Here is a 21,343-nt window from a genome sequence, read left to right as displayed (position 1 = left end):
TGATTGTGTTTTGCTAAGGTTAATATTAAAATTGACCGATATTCTCGTTTCAGGAACTGGTTTCATAGTGAGGGTAATTTGAAGTCAGACGGGTATGTGCTAGGCATCAGAAAAGAGCCAGCCAGATATGAAAATGTAGCCACAGATGATTCACAGAGCCCAGAGTGAATAGGTCATTAAAAGTTAGTCATCAAATGCTTTATTGAGTCATTTAGAATCAACATTACAAGGACTGGTTGTATTACCCTACTTCACAGATGGACAAACTGAGGCAAAGTATTATGCTACTATTTGTTGTGGTTATGCAGTTAAACAAAACCGAGGAAAGTGTGTGTTTCACTCTCAGGTTCTCTTATGCCAGGCCAAAGCTCCTTCCTGCTTGGGATGATGAAGAATAAATTAAAATATTGCTGAGATTATTTTGTGGTAATTGCTTTTCTTAAATTCTCTTTTTGTTTTCCTTGAATCTAGGAATCATACATAAAGGGAATGGAGAAAATATGTTCATTTCCCAGCAGCCCCCAGTCATATCAACCATAATGGGTAATGGACACCAAAGGAGTGTAGCCTGCACCAACTGCAATGGCCCAGCCCACAACAACAAACTCTTTGCTCCTGTCGCCTTAGCTTCTGGCCCTGATGGCAGTGTGTATGTTGGCGACTTCAATTTTGTAAGGAGAATATTTCCCTCGGGAAACTCCGTTAGTATTTTGGAATTAAGGTAAGTCTTCTCTAATCTCTATATATTTGCTTAGCAGATAAAGCAAAAAGCAAGATAATATGAAAAGACAAAGCACTGCCAGTAGAAGCAGAAAATGTAGTTGCCCCTATTGTAGCACTGAGTTAAGATGCAGGAATAGGGACAAAGGTCAACATGCTCACTCTTCCTACTTGAAGGATTGATCCTTTGAGCACTACTTTGGAGAAGCAGGAAGTGTTAACATCCCTGTATGTATGTCCTTCCCTGTAAACAGTGCTGACACTGACATGGATCTCAATACTTCCAAGCACTCAAGTAAGTCACTCATTCACTGCTAGCCACTGTGAAGACTCATCAAAACTATTCCATTCTAGTTGGGAGAGGTATTGTCAGATCCAAAAGGCTAAACTTCATAAGTTTTTATTTCCAATCTTTGGAAATGGTCATTTCATAAACAAGAAAACGGAAATCTGGTTTTCATGGCATGATAAAGGAGGGAGAAATGGTTCTTTACCCTTGAAAGCCCTACCCCATGATAATTAAAGCATTTATCTTTAAATTTTCTCACATGGTTTAGGAATTTTCTTGAGAGTACAAAGTATTTTGACACCTTTTGTAAGGAATTCGTAGCTTTTAGTATTCCATATCCTGAAGTTCCACAAAGATTATGACTAAATTGACTGTGGCTTAATTCACTTATTTCTTCCCTTTCTGAGATTATAAGACACAAATGTGTATCTTCTGGTGTTATAGAAAAGGGAAGCTTCTAGGGTTTTTATGGTGTTAGGTCTAACGTTTAAGTCTTTAATCCATCTTGAATTGATTTTTGTGTAAGGTGTAAGGAAGGGATCCAGTTTCAGCTTTCTACATATGGCTAGCCAGTTTTCCCAGCATCATTTATTAAATAGGGAATCCTTTCCCCAATGCTTGTTTTTCTCAGTTTTGTCAAAGATCAGATAGTTGTAGATATGCGGTGTTATTTCTGAGGGCTCTGTTCTGTTCCATTGATCTATATCTCTGTTTTGGTACCAGTACCATGCTGTTTTGGTTACTGTAGCCTTGTAGTATAGTTTGAAGTCAGGTAGTGTGATGCCTCCAGCTTTGTTCTTTTGGCTTAGGATTGACTTGGCGATGCGGGCTCTTTTTTGGTTCCATATGAACTTTAAAATAGTTTTTTCCAATTCTGTGAAGAAAGGCATTGGTAGCTTGATGGGGATGGCATTGAATCTGTAAATTACCTTGGGCAGTATGGCCATTTTCACGATATTGATTCTTCCTACCCATGAGCATGGAATGTTCTTCCATTTCTTTGTATCCTCTTTTATTTCCTTGAGCAGTGGTTTGTAGTTCTCCTTGAAGAGGTCCTTCACATCCCTTGTAAGTTGGATTCCTAGCACCATAAAAACCCTAGAAGAAAACCTAGGCATTACCATTCAGGACATAGGCATGGGCAAGGACTTCATGTCTAAAACACCAAAAGCAATGGCAACAAAAGACAAAATTGACAAATGGGATCTAATTAAACTACAGAGCTTCTGCACAGCAAAAGAAACTACCATCAGAGTGAACAGGCAACCTACAAAATGGGAGAAAATTTTCGCAACCTACTCATCTGACAAAGGGCTAATATCCAGGATCTACAATGAACTCAAACAAATTTACAAGAAAAAAACAAACAACCCCATCAAAAAGTGGGTGAAGGACATGAACAGACACCTCTCAAAAGAAGACATTTATGCAGCCAAAAAACACATGAAAAAATGCTCACCATCACTGGCCATCAGAGAAATGCAAATCAAAACCACAATGAGATACCATCTCACACCAGTTAGAATGGCAATCATTAAAAAGTCAGGAAACAACAGGTGCTGGAGAGGATGTGGAGAAATAGGAACACTTTTACACTGTTGGTGGGACTGTAAACTAGTTCAACCATTATGGAAGTCAGTGTGGCGATTCCTCAGGGATCTAGAACTGGAAATACCATTTGACCCAGCCATCCCATTACTGGGTATATACCCAAAGGACTATAAATCATGCTGCTATAAAGACACATGCACACGTATGTTTATTGCGGCATTATTCACGATAGCAAAGACTTGGAACCAACCCAAATGTCCAACAATGATAGACTGGATTAAGAAAATGTGGCACATATACACCATGGAATACTATGCAGCCATAAAAAATGATGAGTTCATGTCCTTTGTAGGGACATGGATGAAATTGGAAATCATCATTCTCAGTAAACTATCGCAAGAGCAGAAAACCAAACACCGCATATTCTCACTCATAGGTGGGAATTGAACAATGAGATCACATGGACACAGGAAGGGGAATATCACACTCTGGGGACTGTTGTGGGGTGGGGGAAGGGGGGAGGGATAGCATTGGGAGATATACCTAATGCTAGATGACGAGTTAGTGGGTGCAGCGCACCAGCATGGCACATGTATACATATGTAACTAACCTGTACAATGTGCACATGTACCCTAAAACTTAAAGTATAATAATAAAAAATAAATAAATAAATAAATAAAAGAAAAGGGAAGCTTCAACTCCTGTCTCCTTAAGAATAAACAAACCTGTTTCCTTTCCCCTGGGTAAACTGGTAGAGCCTTCTTTCTAGTTATGACAGCTGTATTCCTGACACATGCCTCTGGAACATTTGGCTTTAAGTTTCTCTATGTTCAGAAGATCTAGATGCTATCCTATGAACTATTCCATAAAACAATTTTTTCTTCAGGCATCTCCTCAATGACCTGACAAATAGTGATCAAATATAGTGACTAGAAGAGCATAGACATTGACAGAGCAACTTGTATGTGCATGGCATCATCAAAGCCAATTAAAACACATGAAAAGTCTTGGGTCATTTTCATTTAACACTTACTTTCACACAAGCATGTGAAAGTCCAAAGGGCATTTCTCAAAATTTTTCAGATTCTCATGCTTGCTATGGAATATACCTCCATTTTCTAATACTGAGTGTTATTCCCTAACACCTAGCTGGGGAAATCTTCTAGTCCCAAGCCCCCATCCATTTTTCACATTAATTCACTCCAGTTTTAATACATTTCTTAATTATAGTAGCAAAGGCTGTCATAGGGAAGAAAGCTGTTAAATCCTTTAGCTAATGAAAAAACAGACTGTAAAGTTAAGACTTTATAATAAAGACAAAGCACTTTTAGAGAGTCTAGAGAGGTACTAATTCATAGCACCCTACCCTAATCAAGTGTTCATGTACCTCAGAATGTTACACCTCATGGGGACTTGTCATTTCCAGCAGCATATCTCTTTGGGCACCTACTTACTGGAAAGTCAACAGGAAGGCCAAGATGGTTGCTTGTATGCCTGGATGTGGAAATGATTTATACAACAGTCCACATTGTTTTCAAAACCCTAGGGATGCTCTATCTATATAATGCCAAATATAGATGGGAGCGCTGAACAATTCATTCAACATCTGAATGTTTCCAGTCATCCAGACTGTCAGGTAGACAGAGACCTTTTCTTGCTGAGTCTACATAGTTAACCCTATAAAGCCTGTATAGCTAACCCCTATATAGCTAACTCCTCAAAGGAAAAACAGTAAAATTATCTACAAAAACAAAACAAAAAATTATATTAATATTTTTTAAACTCCAGCTAAATTTAGTCCTTTTCTTTGTAATTTAAACGTAAATTTACCTAAAGTGGAGCAATTGTCATTTATTGATGAGATTCTCTTTTGGTCAAGGATCCTTAACAGTTTACAAATTTGCATTTTAGTCCAAAGTACCTTATGACCTTCAATACAAAGCCATTTGAAGTATAAAATAGAATAACTTGGACTCTAATTGCAAACTGATTTTCACAGTATAAAGAAAAATTAGTTTTTGACAGTTTGAAGTACTATCCAATGCCTCTATTCATTCTTATTCCATGACACTATTTTCTCTCATTGTCTCAGCTCTTCACTTAGGCATGCACACACTTTGAATTTACACATCAAGGCTCTCTCACTTAGCTTGAGAGCTTTTCTCAAGCTAGCCGGCTTTTCTGAGTTGAGATCCTTTAGAGTAGTTCTTCTTAACTTTTTTTTTATTAGTGTTAGACTCCTTTGAGAATCTACTGAAGGCTATGGACCCTCTCCCTAGAGAAAACAAAATCACACAAAATGGCATATGTGATTTAAGGGATCGCATTTTTTTCCCTTCCTTAGAGTTCCCTGCCTCCCACTGCCCCACCAGCAACCAGTCCCTGTAGATGAAGCCCTTTGATAGACTCATGGTTAATATCCCCTGCATTAGGTTCAAGGAGAAAAGGCAATTATTTCTTCTCTATTCCAACACTCCTGTGATTGGCCATCAAAGAAATAAGCTAATGGAATATACATGATCATTTTGATCTAATTGACAGGTAACTCCCTAACTGTTTGACTATATTCAAAACCATCAAACCAGTTTATGTCAGCACACATTAGCTGTCATTAGCTGTCATGTTTACTCAGAAGCTAATATAGCTCTTATTAGATTCACTTTTAAAAAAAAAAAAGCATCTATCCTGATCAGTTGCCTATATGTGTACTGTACATTGTACATATAATTTGTGGATTTATATATTTGCTTTATAAATTTTCCAAATTTAAACTTCCTGGAGAGAAATAAGTTGATTTAATAAGGCTGTGCTATCTTAAGAACCATAATGTTCATTGATTCTACTGTAGTTAGATAAAAACCTCACTTCATACCAGTATTTTTCTTAAGATCAGTTAATTTAATTGCTCTGTGCCCCATGCAAATTAGTCACTTTACTTGGTTGAGTCATCTGTTTCCTTGGAAACACAGACGAATATAGCCATTATGTTATTGGTTGTATTTAAAATTGTGAATGGAGAAGCAATATTGTCAACAGATTATTGTAGAATGGGATAGAGAGCCTTATAGATTTTGATCCTCTGCCAGGTTATTCATTATGTAACTGATGTACTATGTTCTCTAGTAGTTCTCTTCCTTATCTATAAAATTGACTTCAGGTTTATACTTGAGCATCCTCTTACATGACACATACAATTTAACCTGTTTAGAGATCCACAGATGTGTAGCTCTCAGCCCAAAGTTTGATGACATTTTGGGAGGACATATAGTTTGCCCCTAATGGATGCCCTTCTAGATCCTTTTGTTTCATATTTGGCCACATCGAGTAATTCCAGATGTCCCTTGGCAGTTTAAAGATTGGAGGACTGTAGATATTTTCTGCCTCAGCCCTATTGATCCGAAACGTTTCCAATTGAAACATCTGACCTCAAAAATAACTTCATTTTCATTGGTTGCCAATCATTTATTTCCATTGATAGAACAAGGAGGAAAAGGAAAAGTCAGCAATATCACTATCATTAGAAATCTGCCAAGAGAAACAATATTATTTCTTATTATTTAAGTATATAGTACCCCTTTGCCTGTTTCCTGCAGATTTCATTCGTATGTATGCATCTTAAAGCTTCCTTCCAGTGGGAGATTGAGGTAAGATAATAAAGAAGGAAAGCTTATAAGATCATACAATTAAACCTCTGCGACTTTAAAAATACATCCTTGAAAAAAATTTTAAGATAGATTCACTTCTATGTGAGATAGTTTAGGAGTTGGTTTCACTAGGGATTTGCTCCATGTATGCAGACCCACACACAGATTTCAGTAGAACAAAAATGACATCACAGATTTGTGAGCTTAGTATTAGAAGGATCCATGAGGGTATCAGGTCCAAAATTGTGCCCATTCCATGCCTGATGGTTTGTTGTCTCTACATTGATCTCTTTCAATCATGGGAAACTTCAATACTTCTCAAGATCCGTTGCATCTTTGGACTGCTCCATTAGAAAATTCTTCCTTATATTCAGCCAAAATCTGCGTTTGTGAAAAATTCACTCAGTAGTGGCAAATGGTAGCATCTAAAACAGTACAGAAGTCACTTCCCTCTTTTACCTGACAACTTTCACAAGTGTGAGGAGAGCTGTCATAGGTTCCTGAGCTTTATCTTCCTCAGTCTAAACATCTACAAGTCCTTCAACTATTTCCCATCAATTATGACTTAGCTGACTTTTTAAATTGTTATAGCCTCAGGACCACTTTTAAGTTTTCTGAAACCAACAGGGATAATTATGTAAGTAAAAATAGGAGACACCATATCAAGTGCTTTGCAAGAATTCAAATATGTAATATCCCCCTGTACCCCTCTCATCTTCTAATTTCACAACTCTATTAGAAAACTCATTAAGCATGACTGGAAATGATTTATTCTTTATAAAAACCTCATGCTGCTGTTGTTCAAGATTTTGTTATTCTCCAGATATTTATTTTGTCCTTCCCTTAAAAGTGAAAGAGATAAGAAAATAAGAGCCTGGCAAATGCTTCTTGGTATCTTGAGTAATTTGGATTCAACAAATGTCAATGTGATATGAAAATTTCTCTTGAGATTTTCCTGTTTCTTTTCCAGCAACTGCTTAATATTTCATACATTGTGCTCTGGACTTGATTCCTGTCATTGACTGGGAATGGAGTAGAACTGGAATAGCAGCCATTTAGGGGCAGTTAGAATGCTGAGAGGCAGGAGAACTTGTAGAGCTCTCCGCTGAAGGAACAAATGGAAATGGAGCTTTGAGAGCTCTACAAATATCTCAGAAATGGCCATGAACCATCCTCTTGTCAACAGCATTGGAGCTACAAATACTAGAAACACTACGTGTAGATGAAATAGGTGGTTACCTCCCCAGTTTGATCTCATGTATTAGCAGTGGTACTCAAGGATTCCCTCCACCTCACCCAAAGACATCTTCACTGGCCTTCCATGGTGCCCAAAATTTTCACTCTAAGAAATATGTTCCTTTGAATTGAAATATTGCATCTCTAAGATTTCCGAAAACATGAACCTCTTTTAGAATGGCTCATCAAGCTAAAAGCATTCACGAGTCCCTTGATATGGATTCATTTATCAGATTGCTTTTCAAAGGGACTGCTAGCTGAAAACAGGGCCCTAAAACAGGACAGGTAAGTTGTGATAAGGGCAAGGAACAGAGCCAGAGCATGGGGGAAGGTAGTCTTGGATGAGGGTCGCTGGAGTTGGAAGACCTGAGAAGTCAGTGACAGTCAGGAGTGTGCTCTGATGTCTAAAGCAAGAAGACCAAGGAAAGAGGAGCAGGAAGGGCAGACCATTCTTCAATGTCAAATGTTTCTGGCCAGGAATATGAAAAGAAGCTGAGAACAGCATGAAGAACAAGTAAAGGGCTGCAGCCACCACAGTGCAGGCCAGTCAGAGTCTCATGATGCCAGGTCACTAGAAAACAGCTCCAAAATTGGCATATGTCCTCTTTTCCATCCCTTACCTCACAAAAACATAAAAGGAATAGATGGTACATTATGTTAAGTGGAAGAAGCTAGACATAAAAGGACAAATATTTAACGGTTCAATTTATATGAAATATCCAGAATAGGTATTCTTGTGGTTGCCTGGAGCTGAGGGAGGGGAAAAATGGGAAGTGACCACAAATAGGTATGGAGTTTCTTCATAGCATGATGAAAATGTTCTGGAATTGAATAATGGTAAAGGCTACACAACTCTCTGAATGTACTGGAAACCACTGAATTACACATTTTAGAAGGGTGAATTTTATGGTATATAAATCATATCAATAATTTTCTTTTAAATTAAAAAAGAAGAGTACATGACCCTTTCATCACCTGGATCTTGAGAAAATCAAAGGTCAACTTAAAGACTTTATCATTGGAAGCATGTCTTGCTCTAAAAAGATTTGAAATTCCATTTCTTTCTCCTCCTAACTCATGGCAAGCTTCAAGTTGGTCCATTGCCAGGTGGTGGTGCCCACGGATGGGCCCAGGCCCTTGTGAAGAGCTCACACACTGACACCTCAGCATGTAGTCAGTTGGTAGCTAGATAGCAGACTGACTTTGGTGGTGGCTCAGTCCTAAATCCTTAACGAAAAGTAATTCTGAGACAGAACAAGGTCACACACTGGAAATAAATTCCGTCATTTTCACTTCCTCCCTCTGAGATGTTAATGAGAGAAGCTGCTCTGCATAATATGGGACATCTTTCCAAATTCACAGTGACATTATTGGCAGAATCAGAAGCAGCTGCAAGAAAGTCAAACCATCCCCCTCTCACTCCTTGCCATCATGTAAGAATTTCAAAACCCTTTGTAGCCACACAAATGGTTCTGTACCATGAGAATCTGCTGCTGATGAAACCATATTTTAATGAGATCCTTCTAGTACTTTCACAACTAAACTTTCAGGAGGAGCACCTATGCCACAGTGATTACAGCTAGGCTCAAACACACTCATTCTATAATTTAGAGGCCACAAAAACAGGCAAGTGTCTAGAGACAAGGAAATTGAAAGAGGTGCAAATGAAAGTTTCTAGAGACAAACAAATTGAAAGAGGCGTAAATGCCTGCGGCCAGGTTTCTAATCAGAGCTCCTCATCCTTATCAGTTCACCTTTGTTTCAACCCACAGGATACCTACCCTTTTGAGATGAGCAAAGGAAACAGAAAAGTCAGTGAACCTTGACCTGTGGCCCAACTAGTAAAATCTCAGAAAGGTTCTTTTTAAAAAGAGTTGAATCTGCTGTAGCAGATAACTTCAGATGAAAAATTTTGTATATTTTCTTCTTCCCTGAGATTCCAAAGAATAAGACCATTTCCTAGTTTAGATAAAAAAATGGTTATCTCTATGTTTTCAAAATGACATAGGGCCAGATTTAAAAGGATTTTAAAAATTAAAATGATCGTATTTCACAGATGATTATAGCCTTTTAATTCTGGGCAGACTTGACCCAAAGTCAGGCCTATACACAGACTGCACTCCCTGTGTGAGAAACCTCATATCAGGTCCCATCATGAAATGCCCTAGGCAATACCCTGTGCCAAGAGGCTTACAGATCAGGAGCCACCAAAGTATTGTCCTTCTTCTGGCCCAACAGTCCTCTAGTGCCTACCCCAGTTGCCCTTTAGAGCATGGATGGCTAGAAGACACAAAGCCCTAATAGTTGATGTACAATGTGTTTTATTGAAGTTGTTTTGATCAGCAGTTTTGCTGTCAGGGATATTCTGTCATGGTCTAAAAGAAAACTCTTACACTTTCAACTTGTTAAGGAGCTCTTTAATATTGCTAAGGAATTTGCACAACAGATGTTCCTATCTTATCTCTGAGATCAGATAAGTGGCTTAGGGTTAGTGTTGGGATGTCTGTCTGTACACACAATTTGATAATAAAACAGTGATTTTACACTTTGATAGAGTGCTTATGGCTATCAAACCAAAGCCTAAAATGGTTAGTCCCTCTGCCGTGGCTGCTTCTTCAACCCCTAGTTCAATGGTTCCTAAATTTTATTTTGCATCAGAATTGCCAGCCAACTTTGTTAAAAGTAAAATTTCCAGGCCCCACCTCCACCCAAGATTCTGATTCAGTAGGGCTAGGGAGAACCCTAGGAAAGTGCACAAGTGCAAGAATCCAAGTGATTCTGATGCAGATGGTCCAGAGAGAACCTTTTGAAAAATCTGCCTTAGAACTTTGCGCATCCACCAAACAAAATATGCAATCGCCTTGACACCATCTTAGGAGGCAAAGCCTGGAGGGATTGGATCAACTTTGGCTTGCACGCCTGACTAAATGATCCCCATAGAGTCTCTCTAAATGCCGCAATCTGAGTTAGGAATTGGTGTGTCTGGTTAGGTTTGGCATGTTCAATGATACTGATGACTCTCTGTTTGCTTTTGCTTGCCACTCGTGGATACCTTGTGCACCCTAGAAACAGAGATACCAGACATAGGTAAGCAAATCACATCAGCAGCTACCTAATGCCCCCTCTTGCCTATGAGACTACCTCCTGATAATGTGTTAATAGGGAAATTTTTCTTCCTAAATAAGGTTAAAGAATAGTGTGAACATAAATTTGGAAGTTATAACTCAGGTAAGTGTCTTCCAAAAGAAGAAGGGTCCACTATGTAGGATTTGCTGGAGGATCAAAACATACTAAAAAGAAAACAATTCATAAGTGAAAGCTGACAGTTGAGTACTTCATGGGAAAGCAAGGCCTTAAGTTTCATTATGTTTCCCTAAGGTGATAACACAAATGAGTTGGTAAGTTCAAATAGATTTGATGTTTTCAAATTGCAGGTAGAGAAAGAGGTAATACAGCAATCTCCCTAGATCCAGAAGTACAGTTTTTAAGTGTATTAAGAGACAGTGACCATGATGACCTTCTTTAATACACTTTTTTCTTTTTTTCTTTTATGTGACCTCACTGTTTCTATTTCTTTCCACCAAAAAGAAATAATAGGAAAACCTTAAACTGACCGTTTGCAGACAATGGTACATAGCTCTGAAATTAATCATAATGAATATTTCTATTCAATGTGTTTACGCATTACACTTGTCAAAACTGTTCTAAATTGCCTGAAATTGCAAAGGAGAAAATTGAATTTGTTCACTCCCGAATGCCAATTGTCATCAAAATGGCACTGATGGGGTTTCTAATCTGGATTTCATTTGGGCAATGCCACTTCCTAAATGCCAGTACAGACGATCAGCCTTGCTACTTTGGCATAACTGATTCCTTAAGCAAATTAAGTTGGTTGTCAAATAGCTTACTGGTAAAATGTTGCACAGTATTAATTATAAACATTAATTGCCCATTTAACAATCTATGTGATTTTTAACTAGTATGAATGAAGTGATCTTTGCTAAGTTGAAGAGCATTGCTTGAATGTAAAACTAACCAAAAGGTGATAGTAAACCTAACACCCAAGTTGTAAAAGAAATCTTCACATATCTCAAATTGCAATTTGCATTGAGACACAAGGGATTAAAGCAAATTGGAATATAGTCCAGTGGTTTTTTTCTTTCTCAGGTGTGGCTTGTTTTCAGAAAGTAGAAAGAAATCAGCCTCAAAAGAGCTAAAGTACACTTGAGAAATGACATGAAATGGCAAGTTACATATTGATAGGAGGGACCTTCCTGACTGCTGGCTATCAAGAAAATAACATTGATTAGATTTCACTTTGGTATGTTGGGCTATTCTATTTTCTAAGGGCCAGTACACAAAGTTTGAGAACAGCCTGGCTGAGCAAAATAGGACATGTTGCTCATTAGAAAGCAGGAACGCTGATTTGTTTTGCTGCCTTCAGAGCAAGAGTATTCTGATGGTATTTTGCACACAAAATCACATATAATCTAGTCTAATCTTGGTCCAGGCCCAAACTTGTTAGTGACCCCGGACAAGCTCCCTATGTGTCTGGGTTTCCCCAGCTGAGATTTGAGGAGATTGCTAATTCTAACTTTCCTCACAGGCACACTGGGGGTATTCAATAATGAATGAATGTACTGCATTCCAAAGTGCTTTTGTGCAAATAGCAAAATAGCATTTCTCTTGGAAAAATGGCCTATGGACTCTTCCTAAACAAAGCATGACTAATCTGACTGAATTGAAACTCCACAAACTGGCTATCAAAATATTGTAGTTGTTTCAAAGAAGGGTTTTGACCCCTTCTTTTTTCTAGAAAGATCTGAGCACATTGGAAAAATTTTATTCTGAAGGCAAAAATTTAACTATATATGTAAAGAATTTTACTCAAACCCCTATTGAAGCAGTTTTTCCCAGAGAGATGCCTTGTCTGGTATGGCTACCAAATCAATTCTAGAGTTTGTTGGGGCCCTTCATAGTTTATTTACAGCACCTGTTATGGTGGTTCCAGGGTTGGAGGTGTCCCTGGAATCTACTGGATTCTCTTACTTGATGAAGGTAAGTAGGAAAAGATTAAGTATTCCAATTGAACCTAATTTTTTCCAATTAAAACTATAAACAGTCTCAAATTAGTATTTGCAGGCCTGATTATTATTAACATACATAAATATGCTTGGAGGGCAAATATAATTACAAATACAATTAATAACATTCCAGTCCTTAAAGGTATCTTGATTGTTCTCACCACCCTCTCCCCTCCATTTTGCCTAAGTAGCAAGGCCTGAACTCTTTTATGTCTTAGTTTTATATCCTGCAGTTCAGTTTAGTTTAGCACGTACTAAGCACCAATCCTGTCAGGCCCTCTGTTGGCACTGAGAATAGAGAGATGAATATGGTTCCTGCCTGCAAAGAGCTCACAGTGTAGTTGGAGAGAAAGATATGTTAGGAAAAAAAATAGTGCTTACACCCAGCACCCAGATCTTGGTTTCTAATACCATTCTCCAATAAAGGGAACCAGGGGAGTCTTTGGAGAAATGGCTGATTCTAGGATTGGGGCAGGGGGTATAGCAGATGAGCCCAGAGCATCTGGTAGTGCCAGAAAGAAAGGAAAGGCTAAAAAAAAAATCCCTCATTGATGGGGATATGGCAAAGGGACACATGAGTCAACGAAAAGAGCTCCCAATGGCTAAAGCTGGAAGAACTTGAGCAACAAAATAAAGTAGCATTGGATTTAATGCAAAGTATAAAATAAATATCCATGAGTCCATACTGATATAAATAAATGGTTGAATTAATAATAGATGGAGACGAGATAAAGCTCCCATTTAGAAGAATTCCAAATAATTTATGTAGATACTCCACCCTCAAGGAGGTGGAGCATAACTCTCTACTCCTTAAGTGTTGGCTACGCATAGTTACTTCCTTCCAAAGAGTAAAGTGTGGAAAGTAGGGGAGAAAGAGTATCTTTACAGTGAAGAAATCTGACGAACACTATTTCAGCCAGGAGATCAAGGTCAAACCCATTAGTGTACATCATGTTGGTAGTATGTACCCTTGATATAATTTGATCAGAATGGCACTTTATTACCTCTGTGCTCTTCCTCCCAAAAGCCTATCACCCCTGTCTAACTGTAAGAAAAAACAATCAGACACATTTCAGTCAAGGGTATTCTGCAAAATACCTGACCAGTACTCCTCAAAACTGTTAAGGTCATCAAAAACAAGAAAAGTCTGAGAAACTGTCACAGCACAGAAGAGCCTAAGAAGACATGACGACTAAATATAATTTGTTATCGTGGATGGGATCCTGGAACAGAAAGAGAACATTAGGTAAAAACTAAGGAAATCTAATAAGTATGGACTTCATTTAATAAGTTTTAAAAATAATGCTAATACCATACAATAGGTGCTGCTAAGACACAAGTCCCTCTTCTTTACTAATTTCTCTCCTTCTGTTTCTCCTGTCATAACACTTGGACTCATGGTAGTCATATCCTGTCTACTTATCTGTCTCTCCCACTAGACTGTGAGTTTCATAAAGAAAGAAGCTGTGTGTATCTTGCACACAAGTAGGTCTCTAGAACATAGCACAGTTCTTGGATACATTGTATGCACTTAATAAATGATTTTTAATGAATTAGTAAACAAATACACAATACTGAAATGGTACCAAGGAAGTAGTTCAGATGAGAGATGATGAGGCCTTAGAGTAAAAACAGCAGAGATAAAAAGAAGTGAGCAGACTGGAAAACAATTTAGAAAGTAGAATTTAAAAACCACCTTTCACTGGATGTGGGAAATGGTGGAAAGAAGGAAGTAGAAAAGAATGGCTTCTGGTTTCTGGCTTTGACAACTGGGTGCTAGGCAGAGGTATGGGCAATGAACATATCAGAGATGAACAAGACAAGATTGCTCTCCACCAAGCTTTATTGCAACTGGCAGGGCAGGAGAGGGAGATGCAAACAACGCATAAACAAATAATTTAATATGATATGTAATCCCCAGAATAGAGGTAAGATAATGCAAATAACCCAGACTGGAGAAGGGAAGACTGGGAAAGCTTCCTTCAGGAGATGATGCCCAAATAAAGCCTCAAAAGACATGTAAGAATGAATTAAGAGAAGAAAGGCTTGGCTAACACACCAAGAAACATTAAAAAGTTTTTAAAGATGGGAGCCAAATGATCAGAATAACTCTGCAGGCAGCATGGGAAAAAAATGATTTAAGATTTCAAAAACACATCCTACATATCGATCTATAGAAAATATTCCAGGCCAGAGATACTGAAAGATAGAACTAATGTAATGGCATAGGGATGGAAGATGAGAATGTTTCTGAAAGTTAGTTTACAGACACAATTGCATGTGGAGAGCAAAAGAGGGATTAGGGATGACTTCCACATTTGGGGTTTGGATGATGTCAGTATTACACAAACCTTAGGTTCAAGTAAAATGTCTCCAAAACTAAGGTTATTGTAGCCATTGAAAAACTAAAATTAGGAAGAATCAAAATAATAAACAAACTCAGCCATCTATACAGATAAAAATAACTTGAGATTCCTTGTGAGTATGTAATAGAAAAGTTTCAAGAATGCCAGAATCCAAACAAGGTAACTTTAGGGTCACTTTTAGGAGGTATAACTATGCGATTACACAATCATATGATTGCCATTATAACTTTAAAAAGGTTAAATATAACCAGTTCCATTATGTCCTGAAAGAACAAAAACCAGATTAGAAAACTGTGGTAGTCAATTGAAAAAGGGAAACTTGGAAAGAAGTTTGGCAGTAGATCTCCAGCATGATCCTCCCTTAGCGACACTCCTTGAGCTTTGGACATGCCTTTCAATTGACAACTGGGGCCTGGGAGGATGGTATTGTCCACAAGCAAGGTGAGAAGCCCAAGAGAAAGGAAGTAGGTTTATGAGGGATGGGGAAAGCAGGAAAAGAAAGTAACTTCTGTTTTGGATATGTTGAGTTTGAGGTGACTGAGACACCCAGCAGTGATCTAGTAGGTAATTGGATAACTGAGTATGGAGAATAAGAGAAAAATGACCTCCTGAGATTTCCTGTCTTCTGTTTCTTTCTATCCCCAAATGGATGGTATCGGAATGTCAGCATCATTATGAATTAGCAGTATACATTAGATTTGTTTCATACCTAGACCCACTATTAGAAAAACAGAGAAGTATCCATCTCCTTGGTACTTAAGAAGGAAGATAAATGAATTCACTCATCTATCAAAAGATTTTTCCATTTGTGAAAAAAGGCTGAGCCCAGGGGGTTCGTGTTGAAAAATTGCCTTGAATAACTTTACTTTTCTCTTCCTTAGCACAAGTCCTGCTCACAAATACTATCTGGCTATGGACCCTGTGTCTGAATCACTCTATCTATCAGACACCAATACTCGCAAAGTCTACAAGTTGAAATCTCTTGTGGAGACGAAAGATCTGTCCAAGAATTTTGAAGTGGTGGCAGGAACTGGTGATCAGTGCCTTCCCTTTGACCAGAGTCATTGTGGAGATGGTGGGAGAGCATCGGAAGCTTCACTGAATAGCCCTCGAGGTAAAAAATAAATAAATAAATATATATATATATATACCCTTGGGTCATCTAAAGATTTTATTTGACTTTACAAAATCCCGAGACTGTTGCCACACTTTAGCCCATCCACTAATCTCAATATTTTGCCTCTGAGAGCCAAAATATTGAAGTCTGTCCCAGTAGACACATCCAAGGCACATAATGCATTTTTAGCCAATATTCATTAGTATGGTTATAGCTGTTATTAAAAGAATGAAATGCTTTCTTTTCTAGTTGATAAATAACTATTAGCCAGAACCCTCAGAGTGCCTCCCTGGCACCACAACCCACCCCAGAATTACCTCCTGGAAACTCCCCACAGTCCAGCAACTAAAGGGTTAACCTGACCCAGCAGAGAGCCTGCAGACCCCTGCTTTGGCTCTTCAGCCTGCATTGCTTGCGATAAGGTCTGTGCCTACCTTCTACCACTGCTAAGTATGTTGAATATCTCACAGACCCTAAACATTCCTGACTTTTGCTTAACAAAATTATGAATCTTCAATGAACCTTTCTTCCATTAATTTATCTAAATCATTCTGGAAATTACTTATATTTTCAGTTGATATTGCCTCTAGAATAACAAATTCCAATTTTTTTCTGTTGCCTTCTGTGGGAGTTTGGCCTTATTTTTATTTGTCCTAAATTTACTTCTCAGTCTTCAAAGACCAACCTTCAATTTAATTGCCTAGAATCTAGTGAACAAATCTGTGTCTCCCAATTAACTTCTGGATTTTCTGGATCATATGCCAATCTTAGGCCACAAAGTTGAAGGATAGTCAACTTTTAAGTCTGTCATCATATATCATTGACCCTGTCATCTTAATTATTTAACTGCTCTTCTCAGTTCCTTCTCTAAGATGTTTGTGTATGTGTGTGTATGTGTGTGTGTGTGTATCTGCATGCATGCATACATGTATGCATTTATGTTAGTGATTTTAGAAATTATTCATTTTACTGGGCTTACAAAGCCAGTGTTTTCTTAGTTATTATACAAATAATACAAACATTTGTTGCAGAAAAATTAGAAAAGGGAGAATAAAAAAATTTAATTAAAATCACCCATAAGCCTACTACATGTAGAAAACCACTGTAAACATTTTAGTATTTATCCTTCTAGACTTTTCCATGCATATCAGATATTTTAATTCTGTAACAGTAGAATCATATTATACAACGCTGTTCTGTAACCTGTTTTACACAATGTATTATGAACATCTTTCCATGCCAATAAATGTAGTGAGGTCAATGTGTTTAATTTATTAGATGGTCACTTATTACTTTAAATTTTAAGAGGTTACTCTTTAACCATTTGACGTTTGCTATATTGGGATTGAATTCCTACTAGTATCACAGTTTAAAGATTTCACTTTCTTCAAGGCCTTTGTCTTTTATAAAGCCCCTCTGGCTAACCCCATACCATTAAATCTGAATTTATTTAACAGTGTCTACACTACACAATTAGCACTTGATTTTATTTTGCCTTCTTTTGCTTCCAGTGCTTTCATGAATGGGAGATTTTTTCTACTGAAATAAGTCGCTTGAGATGGGAAATCACATCTAATATTATGGAATCTTCCCCACTTCCCCACCAACTTCTAGCATAGTGTGGGACCCACTACACATACTTATTGTGTAATTGATCAATTAAGTAACTCTTATCTATGCCAGGAATTCCTAAAAGGAATTTCAATGGTGTTTACAGGGGGTGATTTATTTTCCCTAAGGGAACACAAGCCCCGCCCCAAGTATTATGGTAAATTTTTTCTTTATTTCTCTGTGCCAGCTCTTTCCTTATACATAGTGGGTCCACAATAAGTATTTAATGATTGAATAAATAACTCGGGTGCAACATGTGATCAGCTCATCTTTCAAGAAAATACATTAGGCTGGGTCTCACCTTTTACACAGGTTTAAAATTCTTGAGGGTATTATAAAGATTTCTGCATAAAAAATAGAGAGGAATCAAGCTTGTATTGTGCCTTAAATTGACATCCTCCTGAGTTGCTGCTAGTCTGAAAACCATTCACCTCAACTACTGCATTCAACCTGCCACACAGAGAATGAATATTTTAGCTTTTCCAAATAAAGCAAATAATTGGTTCACTGCAGCTTTTTTTTTTCTTGGAAAGCAGCAGTAATAAAGTACTGATGAACAGGATTTACATGAACTCTTGAAGCGTCAGTAATGAGAGTGCTGAAATTTATGTATCAAAGCTAATATTAAACTAAGTTTTTCTTCTTGTCATAGCCACTACTACATTTTCCTTTGTCTTGATTTACTCATCCTTCTATCCGAGAGCTTCCTTTGCCATAATCTGGTACACTTCATTCATTCCAAAGCAATAAGAGAGCCCTGATAACATCTGGCCCAGACTTCAGACAGCTAAATGTCTAATCCATCTGGGACAGCTTACACATAACGTTCCTGAAGCTGGTGTTGTCAACATCTGCTTTGATCCAGTGAGTGAACTAGAATGCTTAAAGGAGTGGGATGTGTGGTTCACACTAGGTAGCCACCACATCTCCTTCAACCATGCTAACAATGTTTGAAGACCCTGTCAGTGATCTTTATAATAACTCAGCTGGCAGAACCTCTGTCCAGCCATCAGTTGCTCTGAAAATGCTGGTCAGAACACTTAGGTGCCTAGCTATGGCACCTATCTCCATGCTGAATATAGTCAGCACTCACCTTTGTCAGTGAATTAGAAGTGAGATTCTCTTTAAATGAAATGCTGCAGGGCGATTTCATAGACTTCCATAAAAGGAAAAAACATGCAAAAAGTTATTACAGTGTACAAAATGAGAGGAGAGTATTGCTAATTGCTCATTTCATCTTTGAGGTTCTCTTACAGATTCTTTGTTTCTCAAGAAAGCCCAATTTGTTTGTTTTTTGCTTTAAAACTACCCTGTACATCAGCTCCTTCTTCCTTCCACTTAGTAGATAGCAAACGTTTAATGAATTTCTTTAAGGAGAGGTTTGATTTTTCCCTCCACCTAGAAGCTAATAAAGAAAAGCTGTAGATCAGTAGAAAATGGAAATGTACATCTAGGGAGCACCATTTCTAGGTTAGGGAAAAGAGCTTGCTCGCTCCAAGACTTTAACAAGCAACATATTGCAATTATAGGAAGGTTCTCCAACATGTCCTTAATTATGCAAGGTAAGTCAAATAAATGTTAATCTGTACGACAGCTAATTTACTCTCTAAATCTGTTCTAAAAATAGGATGAAATAAAATTTGCTTTTGAGATCATTCATTCTAAATTCAGAGTAAATTATCCAATGGAGTTAAAAACCAGTCAGCGAAAGGTAACAGGTCAGGAGCCATGGGAATTTTTTGTTTTGGTTTTGTTTCTGTTTTTGTTTTTAGCAATGGCAGCAAGTTTTGGTAAATACCAAAGGAGGGAGCCCGGACTTTCTTTTTCAATACATGTAATGCCCATGTTTTCTTTCAATGACTCCGTGCAAGTCACTGTACCTCACTGTGGTTTCATTTACCCGAACACGAAGATAGACAGGCTGAGTGGTGCCATTGACTAATTTTATGACATTGGGCATTTAAACACTGGGTCCTGAAATTCTTCAGTTGTAAACTGAAGGGGTCAGGATGATCTCCCTTTCAGCTCTAATGTATTAAAATAACTGTAACTATAACTTGTTCAGTGCCTACTGTGTGCCATACACTGTGCTAGATATTTTACACAGTTTCTCTGATGTTCACAACAATGCATGATGTAAATAGTATTAGTCACATTGTACAGAAGAGGAAATAGAGAATCAGACAGGTTAAGAAATTTACCTGGACATACTACACATGTACCACTGAACCTAAAATAAAAGTTATTTTTTAAAAAAGAAATTTACCCAGTTTCACACAGTTTACAGATAACAACACTGGAATTCAAACCAGGTCTGCCTGACTCCGAAAAACCCATGATGCCATTTTTTTTTTTTTTTTTTTTTTTTGAGACGAAGTCTCGCTGTCACCCTGGCTGGAGTGCAGTGGCACGATCATGGGTCACTGCAACCTCCACCTCCCGAGTTCCAGCGATTCTCCTGCCTCAGCCTCCTGAGTAGCTGGGATTACAGGAAGGGGCCACCACGCCTGGCTCATTTTTGTATTTTTAGTAGAGACGGGGTTTCACCATGTTGGTCAGACTGTTCTCGAACTCCTGACCTCGTGATCCGCCCACCTCGGCCACACTTTACTTCACCATACCACACTGTCTGCCTTTCTGCTAAAATCTATGATCTCTGGGAAGGTTGGAAATATTGGGGGAAAAAAATGCTTTTCAATCTGAGGACATGTATTCAATGGGAACAAAATATTTTTATTTACAAGATAAATAACTTTTAGTCTAGTTTCCTTTTCCTATTAAAACCATTTCTCAGATTTTTCTGACCTAGTAGTGTACCCATAGTGCACTACATAGATAGCGTTTACATACTCTGTAAATGTAATTATTCAAATAAATCTCCAGGAAACCTTGTCACTTCTCTTTGGAAGATTCTGTAATTAGAAACTTCACCAAATTTTCCTTAAGGGACACAGGCAGGAAATCTTCATTTTATTAAATTTCTTGACTACAGTAGTAACTACAAATTTTGTTTGAAGGAAAAATGGAAGCGTCCCCAAATAGAATTTCATGTGATAGCCTCTGGGTACTTCTCCTGGGAGGAAGTCTTTATCTGATCCAGTTTTATGCACTTAGATCTGAATCTCAACAAAGAGAAACATTTGCCATTTTACTCATCAATACTTCAATGTAATGGGACAAAGAAAAAAAGTTTCGAAAAGAGGTTGATGGAGTACTAATCCCTGGCATTGTATATGAGTTTGAATTGACTTTGAAAGATGCTTTTAAAACATGCATGGATGATGTAGTTGAAACTTAGGTTCCATTTATTATTTTTACTGCAACTTTCTTTAATTCTACAGAGAACTGAAACTAATGAGTCATGTAATAGATGACCAAGTACTTAAGCAGAATGTGAAATGGTACTAGGTGGGGATATAAAATAAAATTTGTGACAAGCTGGATGCATTTATTTTTTTAAGTAGATACGGAAGGTGAAGGAGTGACTGGACAGGATGAAATTAATCAGTGACTTAATTTGGTTCTCTTGGACCTCACCAAGGGTTATATCTCTATTCTCATGTACATCTTCAGGCAAACTGACGCCAGAACTCAGCAGGAGCAGAACTTAGGCAATATCCAGACAAGTGCAAACAGCCTCTGAGCTGTTCCATAGGAAGGAAATGATCCTTAAATCTTGACGGCTTCCAAAAGTGTTTTTAGGGTATACATGACACTAACCTTA

The 21,343-nt window shown here is 37.8% G+C and overlaps 1 protein-coding gene across 16 annotated transcripts in view, besides 1 other annotated feature; it reads left to right on the top strand.

The window, feature by feature from the left end:
* Nucleotides 1–21,343, top strand: part of TENM1 (teneurin transmembrane protein 1) — an 828,410-nt gene that overhangs the window by 706,576 nt on the left and 100,491 nt on the right. For 9 of the 16 annotated variants that reach the window (XM_017029210.3, XM_017029211.3, NM_001163278.2 and 6 more), the window contains 3 exons: nucleotides 472–721; nucleotides 10,508–10,528; nucleotides 15,773–16,005. In XM_017029210.3, coding sequence (XP_016884699.1) covers nucleotides 472–721; nucleotides 10,508–10,528; nucleotides 15,773–16,005 — 504 coding nt within the window. Of the gene's footprint in view, nucleotides 1–471; nucleotides 722–10,507; nucleotides 10,529–12,505; nucleotides 13,772–15,772; nucleotides 16,006–21,343 lie in introns of those variants that run through there. The other 7 variants (XM_047441760.1, XM_017029214.3, NM_014253.3 and 4 more) reach the window with 4 other exon arrangements.
* Nucleotides 8,672–9,370: an enhancer, noted in NCBI's record as "NANOG hESC enhancer chrX:123622217-123622915 (GRCh37/hg19 assembly coordinates)". NCBI's record gives its function as "activates a minimal SCP1, AML or CMV promoter by ChIP-STARR-seq in naive H9 embryonic stem cells {active_cell/tissue: H9 hESC(naive)}" and the evidence as "EXISTENCE:reporter gene assay evidence [ECO:0000049][PMID:30033119]".

This window comes from Homo sapiens, chromosome X, assembly GCF_000001405.40.
Source record: "Homo sapiens chromosome X, GRCh38.p14 Primary Assembly".
Classification (NCBI taxonomy): domain Eukaryota; kingdom Metazoa; phylum Chordata; class Mammalia; order Primates; family Hominidae; genus Homo; species Homo sapiens.
Note: the sequence above shows the minus strand (reverse complement) of the source record. Positions and strands in the feature narration are given on the sequence as shown.